The 20922-nt window shown below is 41.2% G+C and overlaps 1 long non-coding RNA gene across 1 annotated transcript in view, besides 1 other annotated feature; it reads left to right on the top strand.

Annotated features, from left to right (window-relative positions):
• Positions 1-6468: 6468 nt before the first annotated feature.
• LOC124901002 (uncharacterized) overlaps positions 6469-20922 on the top strand; it is a 76128-nt gene continuing 61674 nt past the window's right edge. The window contains exon 1 of the long non-coding RNA XR_007058818.1: positions 6469-6814. This is a non-coding gene — a long non-coding RNA (uncharacterized LOC124901002). The remainder of the gene's footprint in view (positions 6815-20922) is intronic.
• Positions 8660-8839: a silencer, noted in NCBI's record as "silent region_16087". NCBI's record gives its function as "represses an Ori minimal core promoter by ATAC-STARR-seq in GM12878 lymphoblastoid cells {active_cell/tissue: GM12878}" and the evidence as "EXISTENCE:reporter gene assay evidence [ECO:0000049][PMID:35858748]".

Here is a 20922-nt window from a genome sequence, read left to right on the forward strand (position 1 = left end):
GTGGAGCCCAGGAGCTTGGCAAAGCTGCTGTAGCCAGACTGCCTCTCTAGATTCCTCCTCTCTGGGCAGGGCATCTCTGAAAGAAAGACAGTAGACCCAGTCAGGGGCTTATAAATCAAACTCCCATCTCCCTGGGACAGAGCACCTGGGGTAAGGGGGCAGCTGTGGGTGCACCTTCAGCAGACTTAAACGTTCCTGCCTGCCAGCTCTGAAGAGAGCAGCAGATCTCCCAGCACAGTACTTGAGCTCTGCTAAGGGACAGACTGCCTCCTCAAGTGGGTCCCTGACCCCTGTGCCTCCTGACTGGGAGATACCTCCCAGCAGGGGTCGACAGACATTTCATAAAGGAGAGCTCCAACTGGCATCTGGCAGGTGCCCCTCTGGGATGAAGCTTCCAGAGGAAGGAACAGGCAGCAGTCTTTGCTGTTCTGCAGCCTCCATGGGTGATACCCAGGCAAACAGAGTCTGGAGTGGACCTCCAGCAAACTCTAGCAGACCTGCAGCAGAGAGGCCTGACTATTAGAAGGAAAACTAACAAACAGAAAGGAATAGCATCAACATCAACAAAAAGGTTGTCCACACAAAAACCCCATCCGAAGCTTACCAACATCAAAGACCAAAGGTAGATAAATCCACGAAGATAAGGAAAAACCACCACAAAAAAAGCTGAAAATTGCAAAACCCAGAATGCCTCTTCTCCTCCAAAGGATCACAACTCCTTGCCAGCAAGGGAACAAAACTGGATGGAGAATGAGTTTGACAAATTGACAGAAGTAGACTTCAGAAGGTGGGTAATAACAAACTCCTATGAGCTAGAGGAGCATGTTCTAACCCAATGCAAGGAAGCTAAGAAACTTGAAAAAGGTTAGAGGAATTGTTAACTAGAATAACCAGTTTAGAGAAGAACATAGATGAACTGATGGAGCTGAAAAACACAGCATGAGAACTTCCTGAAGCATACACAAGTATGAATAGCCAAATCGATCAAGCAGAAGAAAGGATATCAGAGATTGAAGATCAACTTAATGAAATAAAGCATGAAGACAAGATTAGAGAAAAAAGAATGAAAAGGAATGAACAAAGCCTCCAAGAAATATGGGACTATGTGGAAAGACCAAACCTATGTTTGATTAGTGTACCTGAAAGTGATGGGGAGAATGGAACCAACTAGGAAAGCACTCTTCAGGATATCATCCAGGAGAACTTCCCCAGCCTAGCAAGACAGGCCAATATTCAAATTCAGGAAATAAAGAGAACACCACAAAGATACTCCTCGAGAAGAGTAATCCCAAGACACATAATTGTCAGATTCACCAAGGTTGAAATGAAGGAAAAAGAGCAGCCAGAGAGAAAGGTTGGGTTACTCACAAAGGGAAGCCCATCAGACTAACAGCAGATCTCTTGGCAGAAACCCTACAAGCCAGAAGAAAGTGGGGGGCCAATATTCAACATTCCTAAAGAAAGTAATTTTCAACCCAGAATTTCATATCCAGCCAAACTAAGCTTCAAAAACAAAGGAGAAATAAAATCCTTCACAGACAAGCAAATGCTGAGAGATTTTGTCACCACCAGGCCTGCCTTACAAGATCTCCTGAAGGAAGCACTAAATATGGAAAGGAAAAACCTGCACCAGCCACTACAAAAAGATGCCAAATTGTAAAGACCATCTACACCATGAAGAAATTGCATCAACCAATGGGCAAAATAACCAGCTAGCATCATAATGATGGATCAAATTCACACATAAAAATATTAACCTGAAATGTAAATGGGCTAAATGCCCCAATTAAAAGACACTGGTTGGCAAATTGGATAAAGAGTCAAGACCCATTGGTGTGCTGTATTCAAGAGACCCATCTCATGTGCAAAGACACACATAGGTTCAAAATAAAGGGATGGAAGAATATTTACCAAGCAAATGGAAAGCAAAAAAAGCAGAGGTTGCAATCCTAGTCTCTGATAAAACAGACTTTAAACCAACAAAGATAAAAAAAATACAAAGAAAGACATTACATAATGGTCAGGGATCAATGCAACAAGAAGAGCTAACTATCCTAAATATATATGCACCCAATACAGGAGCACCCAGATTCATAAAGCAAGTTCTTAGAGACCTCCAAAGAGACTTAGACTCCCACACAATAATAGTGGGAGATTTTAACACCCCACTGTCAATATTAGACAAATCAACAAGACAGAAAATTAACAAGGATATTCAGGACTAGAACTCAGCTCTGGACCAAGTGGACCTAATAGACATCTATAGAACTCTCCACCTCAAATCAACAGAATATACATTCTTCTTGGCACCACATCACACTTATTATAAAACTGACCACATAATTGGAAGTAAAACACTCCTCAGCAAAAGAACAGAAATCATAACAAACAGTCTATCAGACCACCGTGCAATCAAATTAGAACTCAGGATTAAGAAACCCACTCAAAACTGCACAACTACATGGAAACTGAACAACCTGCTCCTGAATGACTACTGGGTAAATAACGAAAGAAGGCAGAAATAAATAAGTTCTTTGAAACCAATGAGAACAAAGACACAACGTGTGAGAATCTCTGGGACACAGCTAAAGCAGTGTTTAGAGGAAAATTTATAGCACTAAATGCCCACAGGAGAAAGCAGGAAAGATCTAAAATCGACACCCTAACATCCCAATGAAAAGAACTAGAGAAGCAAGAGCAAACTAATTCAAAAGCTAGCAGAAGACAAGAAATAACTAAGATCAGAGCAGAAGTGAAGGAGACAGAGACACGAAAAACCCTTCAAAAATTCAATGAATCCAGGAGCTGTTTTTTTGAAAAGATTAACAAAATAGATAGACTGCCAGCCAGACTGATAAAGAAGAAAACAGAGAAAAATCAAGTAGACACAATAAAAAATGATAAAGGGGATATCACCACTGATCCCACAGATATACAAACTATAATCAGAGACTACTATAAACATCTCTATGCAAATAAACTAGAAAATCTAGAAGAAATGGATAAATTCCTGGACACACACACCCTCCCAAGACTAAACCAGGAAGAAGTCAAATCCCTGAATAGACCAATAACAAGTTCTGAAATTGAGGCAGTAATTAATAGCCTACCAACCAAAAAAAGCTCAGGACCAGATGGATTCATGGCCGAATTCTACCACAGGTACAAAGACAAGCTGGTACCATTCCTTCTGAAACTATTCCAAACAATAGAAAAAGAGGGACTCCTCCCTAACTCATTTTATGAGGCCAGCATCATCCTGATACCAAAACCTGGCAGAGACACAACAAAAAAAGAAAAATTCAGGCCAATATCCCTCATGAACATCGATGCAAAAATCCTCAATAAAATACTGGCAAACTGAATCCAGCAACATATCTAAAAGCATATCCACCACCATCAAGTCAGCTTCATCCCTGGGATGCAAAGCTGGTTCAACATATATAAATCAATACACATAATCCATCACATAAACAGAACCAATGACAAAAACCACATGATTATCTCAATACATGCAGAAAAGGCCTTCAACAAAATTAAACACCCCTCCAAGCTAAAAACTCTCAATAAACTAGGTATTGATGGAACATATCTCTAAATAATAAGAGCTACTTATGACAAACCCACGGCCAATATCATACTGAATGGGCAAAAGCTGGAAGCATTCCCTTTGAAAACCAGCACAAGACAAGAATGCCCTCTCTCACTACTCCTATTCAACATAGCATTGGAAGTTCTGGCCAGGGCAATCAGGCAAGAGAGAGAAATAAAGGGTATTGAGATACGAAGAGAGGAAGTCAAATTGTCTCTGTTTGCAGATGACATGATTGTATATTTAGAAAACCCCATCGTCTCAGCCCAAAATCTCCCAAAGCTGATAAGCAACTTCTGCAAATTCTCAGGATACAAAATCAATGTGCAAAAATCACAAGCATTCCTATATTCCAGTAATAGACAGAGAGCCAAATCATGAGTGAACTCCCATTCACAATTGCTACAAAGAGAATAAAATACCTAGGAATACAACTTATAATGGATGTGAAGGATCTCTTCAAGGAGAACTACAAAACACTGCTCAAAAAAATAAGACAGGACAGAAACAAATGGAAAAACATTCCATGCTCATGGATAGGAAGAATCAATATTGTAAAAATGGCCATACTGCCCAAAGTAATTTATAGATTAAATGTTATCCCCATCAAGCTACCATTGACTTTCTTCACAGAATTAGAAAAAACTACTTTAAATTTCATACGGAACCAAAAGAGCCCATATAGCCAAGACAATCCTAAGCAAAAAGAACAAAGCTGGAGGTATCACGTTACCTGACTTCAAACTGTACTACAAGGCTACAGTAACCAAAACAGCATGGTACTGGTACCAAAATAGATATATAGACCAATGGAACAGAAGAGAGGCCTCAGACATAATGCCACACATTTACAACCATCTGATCTTTGACAAACCTGACAAAAACAAGCAGTGGGGAAAAGATTCCCTATTTAATAAATGGTATTGGGAAAACTGGCTAACCATATGCAGAAAACTGAAATTGGACCCCTTCCTTATACCTTATGCAAAAATTAACTCAAGATGGATTAAAGACTTAAATGTAAAACCCAAAACCATAAAAACCCTAGAAGAAAACCTAGGTAATACCATTCAGGACATAGGCATGGGCAAAGACTTCATGACTAAAACTCTGAAAGCAATTGCAACAAAAGACAAAATTGACAAATGGGATCTAATTAAACTAAAGAGCTTCTGCACAGCAAAAGAAACTACCATCAGAGTGAACAGGCAATCTACAGAATGGGAGAAAATTTTTACAATCTATCCATCTGACAAAGGGCTAGTATCCAGAATCTACAGGGAACTTAAGCAAATTTACAAGAAAAAAATAAACAACCCCATCAAAAAGTGGGTGAAGGATATAAACAGACACTTCTCAAGACATTTATGTGGCCAACAAACATATGAAAAAAAAAAAAGCTCATCATCACTGGTCATTAGAGAAATGCAAATCAAAACCACAGTGAGATACCATCTCACCCCAGTTAGAATGGCGATCATTAAAAAGTCAGGAAACAACAGATGCTGGAGAGAATGTGGAGAAATAGGAATGCTTTTACACTGTTGGTGGGAGCATAAATTAGTTCAACCATTGTGGAAGACAGTGTGGTGATTCCTCAAGGATCTAGAACCAGAAATACCATTTGACTCAGCAATCCCATTACTGGCTGTATACCCAAGGGATCATAAGTCATTCTAATACAAAGACACATACACAGGTATGTTTATTGCAGCACTGTCTACAATAGCAAAGACTTGGAACCAACCCAAATGCACATCAATGATAGACTGGATAAAGAAAATGTGGCACATATACACCATGGAATACTATGCAGCCATAAAAAAGGATGAGTTCATGTCCTGTGCAGGGACATGGATGAAGCTGGAAACCATTATTCTCAGCAAACTAACACAGGAACAGAAAACCAAACACCGCATGTTCCCACTCATAAGCGGGAGCTGAACAATGAGAACACATGGACACAGGGAGGGGAACATCACACACCGGGGCCTGCTGAGGGGTGTGGGCTAGGGGAGGGATAACATTAGGAGAAATATTTAATGTAGATGACGAGTTGATGGGTGCAGCAAACCACCATGCCACTTGTATACCTATGTAACAAACCTGCACGTTCTCCACGTTTCCCGGAACTTAAAGTATAATAATAATAATAATAATAATAATAATAATAAAGAAGAAGAAGAAGAAGAAGGAAGAAGAAGGAGAAGAAGAACAAGAACAAGAAGAAGAAAGAAAGAAAGAAGGAGGAGGAGGAGGAGGAGGAGATTATTGAACAAATTGGCATCGCCAGAACATTCAGAAACTGCCAGTCTGCCAATCGGGGAAGTCAGTAATTTCCTTTGTGCTTGTAATTGTGTGTGAACCTGTTTGCTTGTGGTTGTGATTTTACAGTAGATGACATAACAGGGTCATAGTTTTTGCTTGTAAAATTGTTCCTAGCACATTTGAGGGGACTAATTGGTTACACGGTGCCCTGTAGAGATGACTGTGACTTTGCAGGTACTTGATCTCTGACTAGTCTGAGGATCACCCCTGGGGGCTGCCAGGCTTGAAACTTTACAAGATTCCCCTTCGCCTGAGAGGGGGACCATTGGCCACCTGAGCAGAGAAGAAAAGACTTGAATATGCAGCAAGCTCAGCGTATGTGACTTTTGAATGTTCTTGAAATGAGTCAAGAACTCAAATCTGGAGTTTGAACAGGAAACTGGAACACAGTGGGAGGTCTGCGAGGGTGGAGGATGGGCGTGCTTCCAGGATTTCAAAACACAAAACAGGTGGTTTTCAGTGGTGTTGGCTGGCTGGGGGAAAGATGGAGAGGGGAGGGGTGAATAGAAAGTAGGCAGGCTTCTGGGTGGATGGGGCCCAGCACCCACAGCCTAGGCTGGCTGCCTGAGAGTAGCGAGTGACAGGTAAGGGCTCTGAACCTTCCTGCGTGCTACCCAAGGAGTGCCTAGGGCTACCAGGAGGCCCAGGGAGGAACCTTGAGACCTGAGAAAGGCTTTTCTTCCCCGAGAGGACCACTGCTCAGGCTCAGAGGCCATGGGGTGAAGTGCACAAAAAAGTGGGCGTCCAGCCATGCTCTAAGTCCCCCGAAGATGAAGACCAGGGAGCAGCTTCCTCCAATGAAGCAGCAGCAATCAGAGGACCAGGAGGCTGAAGCCCTGAGCCCAGCCAGAGGCAGGATCAGCCAAGTCTGGGACAGGCTTCAATTATTTTAGGGTAAGAAATCTGTGCTTTGTAAATAGCCAGATGTCTTTGCTTTGGTATATTTTAATTTTTTGTTTGTTTTACTTTTTGTTGTTGTTGGTGTTGTTGGTTTAGAAAAACTCGAAGTAAGAAAAGGGTAATGGGATCCTTGTTCATGTCTGGGAAGTCCCAGTGAGAGAGTCAAGGAATCCTCCAGCTACTGAGGCCCCTGGTGAAGTGAATCATGGAAATGTGACAAATCACAACCCCAGAAGAGGCTGCTCTGGAGCCCCCTGGGGAGTCTTTAATGAACTCTTTAACATATTGCATGAACGAAGAAAACGGTGATTTTAGTGACATTTTAGGTATTAGGGACAGAAAGGGAAGCATCTTCCCGGCAGACATAAAAATGGACAATTTAGACATGCCCCATCCTGTTCATACAGGAGGATGGACAAAAATACTTTCTAAGCAGCTGGGACATAATGCGAAATGCCTCTTGGCTCACCCAAGGGTCTTGGCTGCCCAATTTCCCTTTACCCTCTCTAGCCCTTATGCAAAGAACAAAATAAATAGAAGTCTATAGTCTTCAGTCTTTGCAAACAGACCTGCCTGACATCAATTAGCACTAACCTCTGGCAAGTGGCAATCCTCAAAAAAAGCTCCAGGATGTTTTCAACATGAGGATTTTAATGTGTTCTCTAAATGAGGATTCTAATGACCATTTCCCTGACGAAGCAACCAGGCTTGAGATAGTATATGGTGACACTCGTTAAGTGATTCCCTGTGAGTGAGGGATAAACCTGTGAATGGAATAAGGTCCACGGGCCCCCATTCCCTGCCTATTCCATTAGCCATTGGAAATCTCCAGTCAGCCACGGCTGCAAATGGGTGTCCTGGGGCTGGCAATTGACTGATAAGTCCCAGAGCCCTCATTCCAACCTATTGTTCAGAAAACATCCCCACTGTTCATATTTCAGGAGGGCGGGGGAGTGGCAGCAGAGAGAAGCGGCAGGTAATTTATTCAGGAGCTGGAAGCTGAGAAACGGATTTGGTAAGCAAATACTTCAAAGCTCACTAGAGAACTCCCATAAAACATAGACCTTCTGCAGCAACCAGGGAGTGATTTAAATCCAGTTGGAATTTCTAGGGATAAGGAGTAAGACTTATCAACTCAGTTCAGAGCCTCATGAATAATTTCACCTGACACGGGACACTGAACCAGCAGAAATCTGGGATGTCCAAAGAAAAATAGATTTCAAACTAATCTTTGTTCCTCAAGTTTTATTCCTAAGTGGGGAACCGGGGTGGGAGAGGGGAGCCCAGACAGGAAGCTCGCCATTTTTAGACACGTTATATTTTGTCCTTGTGTGAGAAATGTTGGATGGGAAACACATTTTCTGGCAGCTGAAACCTCGCTGGCTGGGCTGGCTAAGGGAAAGGCCACGAACCCACGTACTACCAGGATGTGGAAGTCATTTGTAACTCCCTCTAGGCTAGTACAGGCAGTGAAAGGGGGAACTTAAAATGAAATAAACACCTAAGCCCGGAGCTGCAAAGCTGGGACTACGTTACTCGTGGTGCCTTAAACCCCAAGCTTTATCCGCCCCATCTCCCACCACCTCACTGCAGACACCCTGCCCTCCGTCCGTGCATAACCACGTTCTCGTTCACGAAGCGGCCAGCCTCGCGGCGCTGGGGAGAAGGCTTCCTCCTTGTCCGCACTTCTGGGTCAACAGCCTTAGATGGGGCGGGGGGGGGGGGTGCGGAGCTGCCGAAACCTTCTCGAAGATCCCAGGGAGTCTCTGTCCCGCAGAATCAGCACCATCCTCCTCGGAGCGCAGCTTTTCCTCCCTGCCCAAGTGCGGTGCACCCGCGCACCACCCAAGCGCCCAGCATCGAGGGCGCGGCGGCGGCGGCCAGGGCGGCCAGGGCCCTTGAGCACCCGCGCGGTTTTCCCCCTATGGCCGCATGGGGGCAGGAGAGAGGAGCTGTGGCGCAGAGCACGCGGAGAGGGACCTGGAGCGCGGGAGCCAGGACGGCGCAGGCAGCTGGGGAGGCCGCGGGGCTGCCCAGCGAGTGGAGTGCCCAAGAATTGGCCGGGGTGGAAAGGTCCGCGGGAGACGATCCCCGACCTCCGGGAACAGGCCTGCGGTCGGCCGCCTTGGCACCCAGGCTCTGCCGCCCCCGGAGACTCGGATCGAGCGCTGGAAGTGGCCGCAAGGGACGCGAGGGAGAGCAGAGCTGTGAATCAGCCGGAAAGTCACTCCAACTCCAGGGAATTCCGCTCCGGGAAGAAAGGTGGCGAGCTTCTCCCTGCGTTCCCCTCCACCCCCAGCCTCCGAACGCACCTTCCCTGCGCTGGCGACCAGCTGTCACCCCCATTTTGCAGCTACTGAGACTTGAGATGTTGGGAGCCTAAAGGACATCATTTAGAACATAAAGTAATTATGGTGATTCTGAGCTCTGTGGCCAGAAAGTTTAACTTCAGGAGATATATATATATATAAAATTGAATGGCCACCTTTTCTTTTTCTATTTTCTCCATGTCAGATCTTTCATCTCTTAGTAGAGACTTCTACACCTTTCTGTTATTCCACCCGAAGAAGTTATGGTCACCTGGTTCTCTTTCCTTCACCAAATCGTCTCCATTTTTCTTCTCCCTGCTTCCAAATTTAATTCTCTCTCTCTCTCTCTCTCTCTCTCTCTCTCTCTCTCTCTCTCTCTCTGTCTCTCTTCCCACCACCCCCGCCCAGCCCAGAGATAGGTTCTCACTTTGTCACCCAGGCTGGCGATCTCAGCTCACCCCAGCCTCGACCTCCTTGGTTTAAGTGATCCTCCTGCCTCAGCCTCCAGAATAGCTGGGACTACAAGCGTGCACCACCACACCCAGCTAATTTTTGTATTTTTAGTAGAGACGGGTTTTCGCCATGTTGTCCAGGCTAGTCTCAAACTCCTAGGCTCAAGCCATCTGCCTGCCTAGGCCTCCCAAAGTGCTGGGACTACAGGCGTGAGGTACTATGCCTGGCCCAAATTTAATTCTTAACTCATTTGAACCAAAACTAGCCAAAAGTTCCAGAGGGCTCCAACCCAAATGAAAATGGCCCAGGAAAAGGAGGAGGGGAAAGAAATACACCTACCAAAGATCAAATAATATCTTGTGGGTCCTTACCAAGAGTAGACATGAAATTGTCTCATCAGATAGTCTCCAGTCTTTTGAAAAATCTTTGCTCCAAAATGACTTGCATTGATTTTTTCACTGATGATATTTATTTGGAAACTTCACATAACTTACAAATCATGTAAAATTTTTGCATTCATTAAATCTAGACCTGGGTTCAAAAGGATTGTGAAACTGCAGTGCTGACGTTAATAAACCATCAAGTTAGAAAAAATGAAAAGCATTAAGAGGGAGCAACACTAAAGCAAAGGCTTGTGGGATTTATAGAGTCATCCCCAAAACAAAGTCTTTGTCTTCCTCTTTCTTTCCTCATCCTATTAGTCAACTGAGGACAGCACTTGGACCATCCCTGGCCTGGTCCTTATCTGGTGCTTTGAGATGGGAGAGGAGGCTCCAGGTTATAGTTCTGTTGCACCACCTTCCAAGAATGAAGCTGGTCAAACTGGACAGAACACGATGGTGTAAGTGTGACAGTACAGAAAGTTGGGACAGTGCTGCGCCTTCTGGAAATGGTAGCCCAGCTGCTCAGGTGTGGGCATGTGCTTTGCTCCTTTATGATAGGAAGCCTGCCTTCCAGTTCCTCAGCATCTGCTTTTCTAGCTGGGTAGTGGCCCAGGCCCCTGAGTTTCCACTTTCTTTTTTTGCTGGCTTTTTTTGTTGTCATTGGAAGTCTGGCAATTCATTAACATCTCCACCAGAGGATGGGCAGGAGAAAGGAAAACTGGGAACTCCAGTCTACCTTGCATTTCTTAGTAGTTAGTACCTCTAGTACTAGCTGGGTTTGGTGGGAAAGAGCTGTACTGCTGGCTAAAATGAGATTTTGTGATTATCTGTGGATTTAATCTGGTCTCCTCACATCTACCATTTCCACAAATAATTAGAGATTATTAGACACATTCAGAAGTTGCATTAGCCTCAAAGAATTTAGAGAAAATCTAAATAGGCTTAAATACCATCTTGGAATCCAGAATGTTAAGCTCTATGCTCCAGATAATTAACATTTTTAGGGCCCCTTTTCTCCCCATGGGGCTAAAATCACTCCTGGGTAACAATTAACTGAACACATTCTAAGTCTAATATATTTTGCAGAAAGGGATGAGCTGAGCAGAAAAACAGATGATGCACTACTGTTGCATTAAAAGAGAACAGGCCATGCAGCATTGGAGGTTTGGCACTTCTCTGTTCTCTTAAGATGTATTCTGATTCTCGAGGTATTGAGAAGAGCCTTTGCTCTTTTCCCACCAAACCCAGCTAGTACTAGAAGTACTAACTACTAAGAAATGCGAGGTGGACTGGAGTTCCCAGCTTTCCTTTCTCCTGCTCACCCTCTGGTGGAGATGTTAATGAATTGCCAAACTTTCAACAACAGAAAACAGCCTTTATATTTTCAAAATAAATCTCATCAGTTGGCACGTGTGGGAGCCTCTCAGGTAGTGGGTGATTCATTGAGAGAGCAATGCCTGCTCCATGAGCACAAGTGTGCTGACCCCTTTTCCTGGAGAACATTCTGGACATAAAGTGTCCATCAGGAGCAGGGGATGAAGTGTAGAGAGGGGCCGCAGCCCTTCCTCAATGCCCAGAGGGCTCCTTCCAGAGAACTTGAGTGGAGTACCACCATGGGGTTCTTTTGATTACTTTCCTCCCAGTGGGAGCCCTACATTAGCACTGACATGCAGTGGCACCCCATTATTGCAGGATGGTTGAGAATATGATGATGAGAGTATCTTGTGCTCCTGCAATATTTAACAGTTTTCAAGGCAATTTTATATATGTTATCTTTTTCGTTTTTTGAGATGGAGTCTCACTCTGTCGCCTAACTGGAGTGCAGTGGCACCATCTTGGCTCACTGCAACCTCTGCCTCTTGGGTTAAAGCGATTCTCCTGCCTCAGCCTCTTGAGTAGCTGGGACTACAGGAAGGCACCACACGCACACCACAGAGCGCACCACCACACCCAGCTGATTTTTGTATTTTTAGTAGGGATGAGGTTTCACCATGTTGGCCAGGCTGGTCTTGAACTCCTGACCTCAAGTGATCCGCCTCCCAAAGTGCTGGGATTACAGGTGTGAACCACCACATCCTGCCTTTCTATATGCTATTTTATTTGATGTTCATAATAGCTGTGAGGTAAGCAGTACAGATATTATCTCCATTGCTTCCTGGTGAAGGACTTAGCCACAGTCAGATAACTAGTAAGAGCAGAGTAGAGTTAGAATTGGAGCCTTCTGGTCCCCCTCCTCTGCATGCCTTTCAGGTTCTGTAATAAAACATCATAGTCTCTTATTTGACTACATTGTCATGTCTGTTATATGTTCTTTAAATGGCCACTGCACTCATGCATGCTAATTTTACAATGTTTTAATTATGAAAGTCTGTTAAAAAATTCAAAGTATCATTTCTAACACTATATTTCCTTTGGAATTACATTATTGCAGTTCTATGTATTTAGTTGCATTTCCCCTCTTTAATAATCAGCAAGGTTTTAATCTAACTGTGTTGGACAATTTCCCAAAGCCACTTAGAAAATATCACCTAGCATTCGCTTTATCCCCCAGATCTTCTTTTTCATTACTAGGCAGGTGGTTACTAGGATATGCCCCAAAGAAATAAGATCACAACTTAAAGCCCAAGCACATAAAATGTTTAGTAGATACAATAACTGTAAATTATTATAACCATAGATATTTTTATAAAGATTGATTAAAAAATACTCTGACATACCCCACATGCTGATAGTTCAATTCATGCGTGAAAAACACATTTTAGCCTTTTCCATCAGCACCATTCACATTTTAGAAGACCGACTTTATAGGGGGCTCCCCAAAGTATCTCCTTAAACCACTGCCAACCCGGGGGGTGGTGGATAGTGGCAATATTACATCAGTATCTGTATTGGGTTCTTGGATAGAGCTGCACAATGGCCATGTATGGTGAAAGGTAGATTTTCCCCTGAGACTTTATTCTTGGAATATGTTAAAATGCACATGTCTCTATTTCTGCTCCCAAGAAGCTGGTGTACAGATGTTAAGTATTCGGGTGGTAGGAGCGCTGCTGTCTACAGTTTACATGATGTCTAATAGGCCTCTAGAATGTGTTTAAAAGGCAGTGTTCAAAATTAGGCCCCTAACCTTCTTTGATGCAATTGTCTTTCTTTGGAGTTACATCTTGAAGGAAAGGATGAAGATTTGGAAAGGGAATTAATTTTCCTGACCTGACTTATTATTTTCCCCCTGTATTTTATAGTAATCCTTTAAACTCAAAAAATTCAGCTAATTATGGATTTCTACCTGAATAATGCTGCCATTTGAGTGGCTGCATGTCACTGTTTCTGGTTTCTGACCCCCTGTCAGGCCAATTCTGCCTGATTTCACTCATGTGCTGCTGCTTTTTATAATCTGAACATTATTTCCACTCAAATGTTTCCAGCTTTGCCCAAAACCTAAGAATCTGAAAAGGGGGAAACTTCCTTCGTAACTAGTATTTGAGTAATTATCACTTTGCATTATTCTGATCTTTTGCAAAACGTATACTCCAAGAAGAACATTTGAAAAAAGTTAGAAGTCTTAGTTGATTTTCTAATTTACATTTAAAAATAGAACGTAGGCAGTCTCTCTTGTCATTAAAATATGATTTTTCCTCTATTTTCTATGCTCCATAAACTCTATTACAATATATTTTGAAATGTAGGACATTGAATTGAGGACATTAAACAAAGAAATTCAATGGCTTTGAGGGGAATTTTAAAGATCCAGTTTCCTAATATGTAGACTGGAAACTGGAAAGACTTCATGATGTCTAATATGTTTTTTCCCTGTCTCCTAGACGCAATAATCTCTAACTGCCACTTGATCATTAGAGATTTATATTCACTATAATTTATGTCAACTTATATCTGGGACTTTTTTTTTTTTAACAACATTTGGCAGCCAATTGCTGGTAGAAATGTAGAATGTTTCACATTAGTCAGCAGCCCTCTTAAATTATTTCTATGAAATAATTTATTGTGGATTACAAATTCTTATATGGCATTTAAATTTAATGATTAGGCAGAGAGATATATCAAAAATATGATTAGTCACATATGTATCTGACTTGCATGGTTCTAGCTCTATGTGTGTTTTATAAGAATTGCTTTTTAAAAAGATATTTTGAGACTTACATGTTTTTACAATGAAAAACAACACATATTTAAAGGAAAGGAGAAATGGATGCACACACTCTTATAAACTCTCTTCTCTAATTAAATGTCCATAAAATTATTTTCTATTTCATGATAGACATTTTTGGCATAGGTACTGGTGTGTGGTCTGAAACTATAAGAACTGACAGTGGTAAAGATCTGTTGCCTCATAATTTGAGGTAAAGATGTAGAAATCCTAACAAAATATGAGATTGTCAGTGAAAAATGTAATGTCCCTTTTTCACAGAAAGGAATTAGTAGTGAAGTGATATACTTCTAGCAGAACAAGAAATGAAATGAAACTGAATTCCTTATTGAAATCTCAGAGTGAGCTACCTCCTAACTAATTTTCATTTCTCTACATAGTTATGGTTAAGACTTTTAGACATTTATCATTCCATTTCACTCATCACTCAGGAAAGAAAGACATAGAAAAACAGCCATGAAAGTTTAATTAAAATTTTATTTGCATGAAAGGGACTCCTAGAGCATCTCTTTTGTATCTTAGACAGATTATGTCTTTTTTATTCCTTTTCTCTCTCTTCCTATTTAACAGTGATTTTCTTAACTCGACTATTTATGATTCATTTCATGAAAGGCTAGGTTTTCTCAGAGGTTACTAAAAAGTCTTAAAGTGGTTTTAGAGACTAGCAGCAACAAGGAACTATTTTCTTTCATGTTGTAAAATAAAGTCATTGTCAATAGCCTACAATCTGCAATAAACTATTAAAAAAGGAATTTATGATGGCTGTTTATTATCCTCCTGAAATAATGTTGTTACAAGTCTGCCGTTGTCAGTCATCCACAGGAATCACATGCTGAACTGCAAACAAAGGGAGGGTCTGGATCCACACAGAGATTCATGGCAGATTACCCAGGGATGGCGGGCCTGATAGTCCCTTGTGCCATTCATCACCTTTTTCAAAGAAACAGAATAATAGCCACACGTGCAGATTGCACTAAAAGGCACCTGTTTGCAAGGTGGAGTTTGAATTGTGAATTAGAAAAATACTTGCATGGCTAGTAACAGCAAATTATGTGGGAGTACCCTGGATGGGTTGGGAAAGTAGCAAGCAGGATGCTTTAGAAAGACAACTAGAAGCATCCTACACACACCTAAAGCCGCATGTCAACTCTTTTCCTTGTTTTTAATGTTATTATAAGTCTTAAGAAGTCCTCCCTCTTTCTCTTCTTGCCCTGTAAGCATGTTCCTTTGCTAAAGCCGGGTCTGTCTGGAAAGCTTCTTGGGGAATTTTCTTTGGGTTCAGCAGAGAAAAGAGGGAGGGAATGCATCCTACCCTTCTGCTGCTTGTGGTGGGTCAGGGAGGAGGAGGGGGAGCCACTGGAGGAAGGCACAGAGTTTTTCACCAGTGGCTGAGGAACCAGAAAGGGTCTGCTGATGCTGGAAGATTACTGAAGTTACAGGATCTGCCTAGAATAGAGAGCTACAGAGAATGGCTTTCAGGGAAGAATAATGAAATTGTGTATGGTTGGGGAAGGATGTAAGATCCACAAAGAGGAAGATGAGAAGAAGGATTAAAAATGAGACAAAGGCCAAAAATGGCTTGATTAGATTCGAAGAGTTGAAGGTATAAAATTTCATGTTCCAAACCTTTACAATATAAATAATCACTTCCTGAAGAAACTAACATAATTTTTCTGCTAGAAAATGGTGTTCTTTATTTTTAAAAAATTATGTTACACCTCCAAATGTAAGAAAAAAGAAAGCTCTCCAAGATATGGGAGATTTGAATGATTATTGCATGGTATTAAATGCTAAAGCGAAGAAAACTGGCTTTAAAATGAGAATAAAAATTAAGAACCTTTACTTCTTGGATATTAATTTAAATAAGCATGCTCTAACATACTGTGCCATTCATTACTAGTTTCAGAAAGTTATCAGAAGCATATGTTGAGCATGTTTAGAAAGCCAGCTTGCTTAGTTCAGTGAAGCAATGTCTGGCGTTAGTGCCTATAGAAAACAGAAGAGCATACACACTACTTTAATTCCATTGTTTTAAAAACTTGGGAAGACTTTTTTTTTTTTTTTTTTTTTTTTGAGACCAAGTCTCTCACTGTTGCCTGGGCTGGAGTGCAATGGCACAATCTCGGCTCACTGCATCCTCTGCCTCCCGGTTCAAGCGATTCTCCTGCCTCAGCCTCCCGAGTAGTTGCGATTACAGGCTCCCCCCACTAATTTTTTGTATTTTTAGTAGAGATGCGGTTTCACTGTGTTGGCCAGACTGGTCTCAAACTCCTGGCCTCGTGATCTGCCTGCCTCGGCCTCCCAAAATGCTGGGATTACAGGCATGAGCCACCACACCTGGCCAAAACTTGAAAAGACTTTAATATCATCTGAAATTATTGATTAACTTATTTTGTGTACTTAGACAAGCACTAAGAGGAGAAAAATGATGTTGATTTAAAATTTGAAACTCAAAATCTAGAATTAAAACAGTCATTTAATACAAAGCTCTGATTTGTAATTGTTTTCTCAAAACAGTTAACATAGCTTTTTCATTCCCTCAGGATTATTTCTACAGTTGAACAAGGGATTTCTAAAGCTCATTTCTAACAGGAAATCTAAAATCTACTAAAATATTGTTACAACAATTTGAAAAATTAAAGGCAATAGAAATAGATGTAACAAAACATTAAGTACTATCTGCTAAAATAATGCTAATTTACATTAACAACATGTCTCACTTTTTTACGCAAAATTTCAGAGCAGCCGCAATCCACTAACAGTTATGGAATGATGGCCTGTGTTAATGTCTGCCCCTCACTAAATCACCCAGTATGTCCAAAGCTGGAATGTCTTCAGCAACATTTTTCAGTGGTCATTTTTAAGTGATTGAAACTGTCAATGATAGTCTTTGAGTAGACGATCCACTTTTGGTCAAAACATACTAGAAAAGTCATCCCTCTTTGAAGTGCCATGTATTGTATCTGCAATCATGTTGTCAAAATAAAATGCATTTAAGATATGTAAGGAAGAGAATTTCTTACTTAAATGCAAAAAAAAAAAAAAAAAAAACCCACACAAGACAAATGTTCATTCTTGTAACACAGTCCTAGTCCATGATTACCTATAAATACCGAGCACTGGAGACTCAAATCAGCTTTCTGGTCAACAATGGAAACTGATATGTTTAGCTATTGAAAACTTAAGAGAATTTGTCACTGTACTAGAAAAATACAATCTGATAGAAAAGATAGCATTCTAAAATATTTTTCTAATGATCACCTTGGCTTTCTGTGGTTCTGCAAATACAAATAAATAGAGAGCTAAGTCTTTCATTTCTTCCCAACTTCAAATTTAGCTACAAACACTCTTAAATGAAAACACAGTTTTCTGGAGTTCTGAGATGTCAGGAGTGGTAACGAACAGAGATGCAAGAACTTCCAGGAAGGTCTGTGGAGAGCTGCAGAAGATTTAGGGAGCCGTTTGGGGTGTGCTGGAGAATGCTCCTTAGTCTTAGATGGTTTCCTCCTCCCCATGACCTTCTCACCACTCTTTGCTAAAAGACTATTTTAGAGAAGTGGAGCTACTAACATTGGGTTCATTATTAAAAGAAAACACCAAACCAGCTATTACCAATTCTGCTGTTACTCCTTGGTTTCAAGTGAATGCTGAAGTAAGCAGTTGTTGGATCACAAAATGTTAACACTGCAAGGGACGCTTAAAAGTTGCCTCTCTGGGTAAAATTTTTAGCTGACTATGGGCTACCCTGGGACTAGGATAACTCTTGACTCTCAGTCCACAACTGTTTAATATGTAAATATCAGAAATTGGTTTAGCCAAGGGATTATAGATTAGAACATATTTTGTTAGATTTATACCTAAATATTTCATGTTTTTAAATAACATACATTTGAGTCCAGCTCCTTAGAATCCCAAATTAAATCTGGATCAGTGTTGTCCCATCTGAGTCACAGAGACAGACCAGTGCTGTCCAGTAGAAATATAATGGGAGCCACACATGTAATCAAAATGTTCCAGTAGCCATATCTTAAAAAGTGTAAAGAAACTGGTGAAATTAATTTTTGTAATAGTGAATTTATTATTTATTGTGCATAACAAATTGTCCCAAAATTGTAGCTTAAAACACACATTTAATATTTTACCATTGTGTTGGGTCAGCAATGCACGATGGCTTTGAGATAGAAAGAGAGATAGAGGTGGCGCAAGCTAATGAGTGAGAGAGGGAGCACCCAAGATAGAAGCCGCAGTCTTTTTGTAATCTCAGCTTGGAAGCTGCAGCCCATCACTTCTGTCATAGTCATTTGTTAGTATTGAAATACTAAGCCTAGCCTAGAGCCTAGGGGAGGGAATTACATATGGGCATGACTACTGGGAGGCTGAGCTCAGCAGGGGCCATCTTAGAGGCTACCTACCACAAATATGTGTGTACATACATTAATGTCTATTTATATACATTTAACAAAATTTTAGACAGAGGTGATACATGTGCAAGCTTGTTACATGGGTATATTGCATAATGCTGAAGTGTTTTGGCTTCTAGTGAACCATCACCAAAATAGTAAACTACCCAATAGGTAGTTCTTCAGCCTTCATCCCCCCACACCTTTAGAGTCCCCAGTGTCTATTACTTCCATTTTTAGATCCATGCATACTCATTGCTTAACTTCCACTTATGAATGAGAACATGTGGTATTTGATTTTCTGATTCTGAGTTGTTTCACTTAGGATAATTGTCTCCAACTCCCTCCATGTTGCTGTGAAGAACATGATTTCATTGTTTTTTATGGCTGCATGGTATTCTGTGGTGTTTAAGTACCACATTTTCTTTATCCGGTCAACTGTTGGTAGACACTTAGGTTGATTCCATGACTTTGCTCTCGTGAATAATGCTGCAATAACATACAAGTGCAGGTGTCACTTTCGTATAACAATTTCTTTTCCTTTGGGTAGATACACAGTAATAAGATTGCTGGGTTGAATGGTAGCTCTACTTTTAGTTCTTTGAGAAGTCTCCACACTATTTTCCATAGAGGTTTTATTGATTTACATGCCCACCAACAGTGTATAAGTGTTCACTTTTCTCTGCAGCCTTGCCAGCCAACATCTGTTAGTTTTTGATTTTTTAATAATAGTCATTCTGACTGATATGAGGTGGTATTTCACTGTGGTTTTAATTTGTATTTCTCTGATGATTAATGATGTTGAGTATTTTTTCATATGTTTGCTGGCTGCTTGTATGTCTTCTTTTGAAAAGTGTCTTTTCATGTCCTTTGCTTATTTTGTAATAGGGTTATTTTTTTCTTGTTGATTCATTTTAGTTCCTTATAGATTCTAGATATTCATCCTTTGTTAGATGCATAATTTGGAAATACATTCTCCCATTCTATAGGTTGTCTGTTGATTGATTCTTTTGCTGTGCAGAAGCTGTTTAGTTTAATTTAGTCCCATTTGTCTATTTTTGTTTCTGTTGCATTTGCTTTTGAGGTCTTACCAATAAAATATTTGCCTAAGCCAATGTCCAGAAGAGTTTTTCCAGGTTTTTAATAGGATTTTTATAGTTTGATGTCTTACATTTAAGTCTCTAATTTATCTTCAGTTAATTTTTGTATATGGTGAGAGATAGGGGTCCAGTTTCATTCTTCAGCATACTCCCAGCCATTATTTATTGAATAGTGTGTCCTTTCCCCCATTGTTTATTTTTTGTTGGCTTCCACAAACATATTTTATCTAACCCAATATACCCAAAGTATCATTCAATATATAACTAATATAAAATTATTAATGAGACTTTTGCATTCCGATTTTATAATCTCCTTGCTGTGGACTGAATGCTTGCACTGCCCCCAAAATTACTATGTTGAAGCCCTAATCCCCAATGTCATGATATTAGAAAGTGAAACCTTTGGATGGTAACTAGGTTTAGATGAAGTCAGAAGGATGGAGTTCCCATAATAGGATTAATGCCCTTACAAGAAAAGGAAGAGACATGATATATCTCTCCCTCCTTGAGCCCACCCCCACACCACCCCTCTTGCAAGCACCAGGGAAAGGCCATGTGGGGATGTAAACAGGAAGAGGGTCCTCAACAAGAACCCAACCATTCTGGCACCCTAATCTTGAACTTTCAGCTTCCAGAACTGTGAGAAATCAATGTTGCTGAAGCAACCCAGTCTGTGGTAATTTGTTATAGCAGCCTAGACTTACTAAGACAACCTACAAAGTCCAGAATGTATTTTACACTTACGGCCTGCATCAATTTGGACTAGATACATTTCAAGCATCAATTGCCACCTGTGGCTAGAGGCCACTGTAGTACAGAACACATCTAGATGGTCTGAAGCCATCTGAAGATCCAAAGACCCTAACTAAGTGGTCTTCTTCACCAGCAACCTAAATGATTGATGTGATTTATCAGACATATCAAGTGCTTACCATGTACCAGACATAGTGCTGAATGTAAGGAACCTCAAGCTAATAAATAATAGTGCCTGCCCTAAAGGAACTCAGACAAGTAAGAGGTTAACTTCGGATTCTAGACCAGCCATGCAGGGCCTACCTCAGAGAGCTCTACACTGTGATGGGTTCTTGCGTAAGGCAAAGCTCAGTCCCTCCATGGTCCGTGGGAAGGTGGGTGACCCAAGTCTGCCTGGCCCAGCCAGAGTCTCTGACAATGACCATACACATCATTTACTCCCAGGCCTAACCTGAGGCCTGGGCCTCGGGCCCTGAACTGGAGCCCATATGTTGGCCTGAAATCTGATTTACCTTGGACGTGGAACAAGTTAAATATTTGTC

This window comes from Homo sapiens, chromosome 5 (genome assembly GCF_000001405.40).
Source record: "Homo sapiens chromosome 5, GRCh38.p14 Primary Assembly".
Classification (NCBI taxonomy): Eukaryota; Metazoa; Chordata; class Mammalia; order Primates; family Hominidae; genus Homo; species Homo sapiens.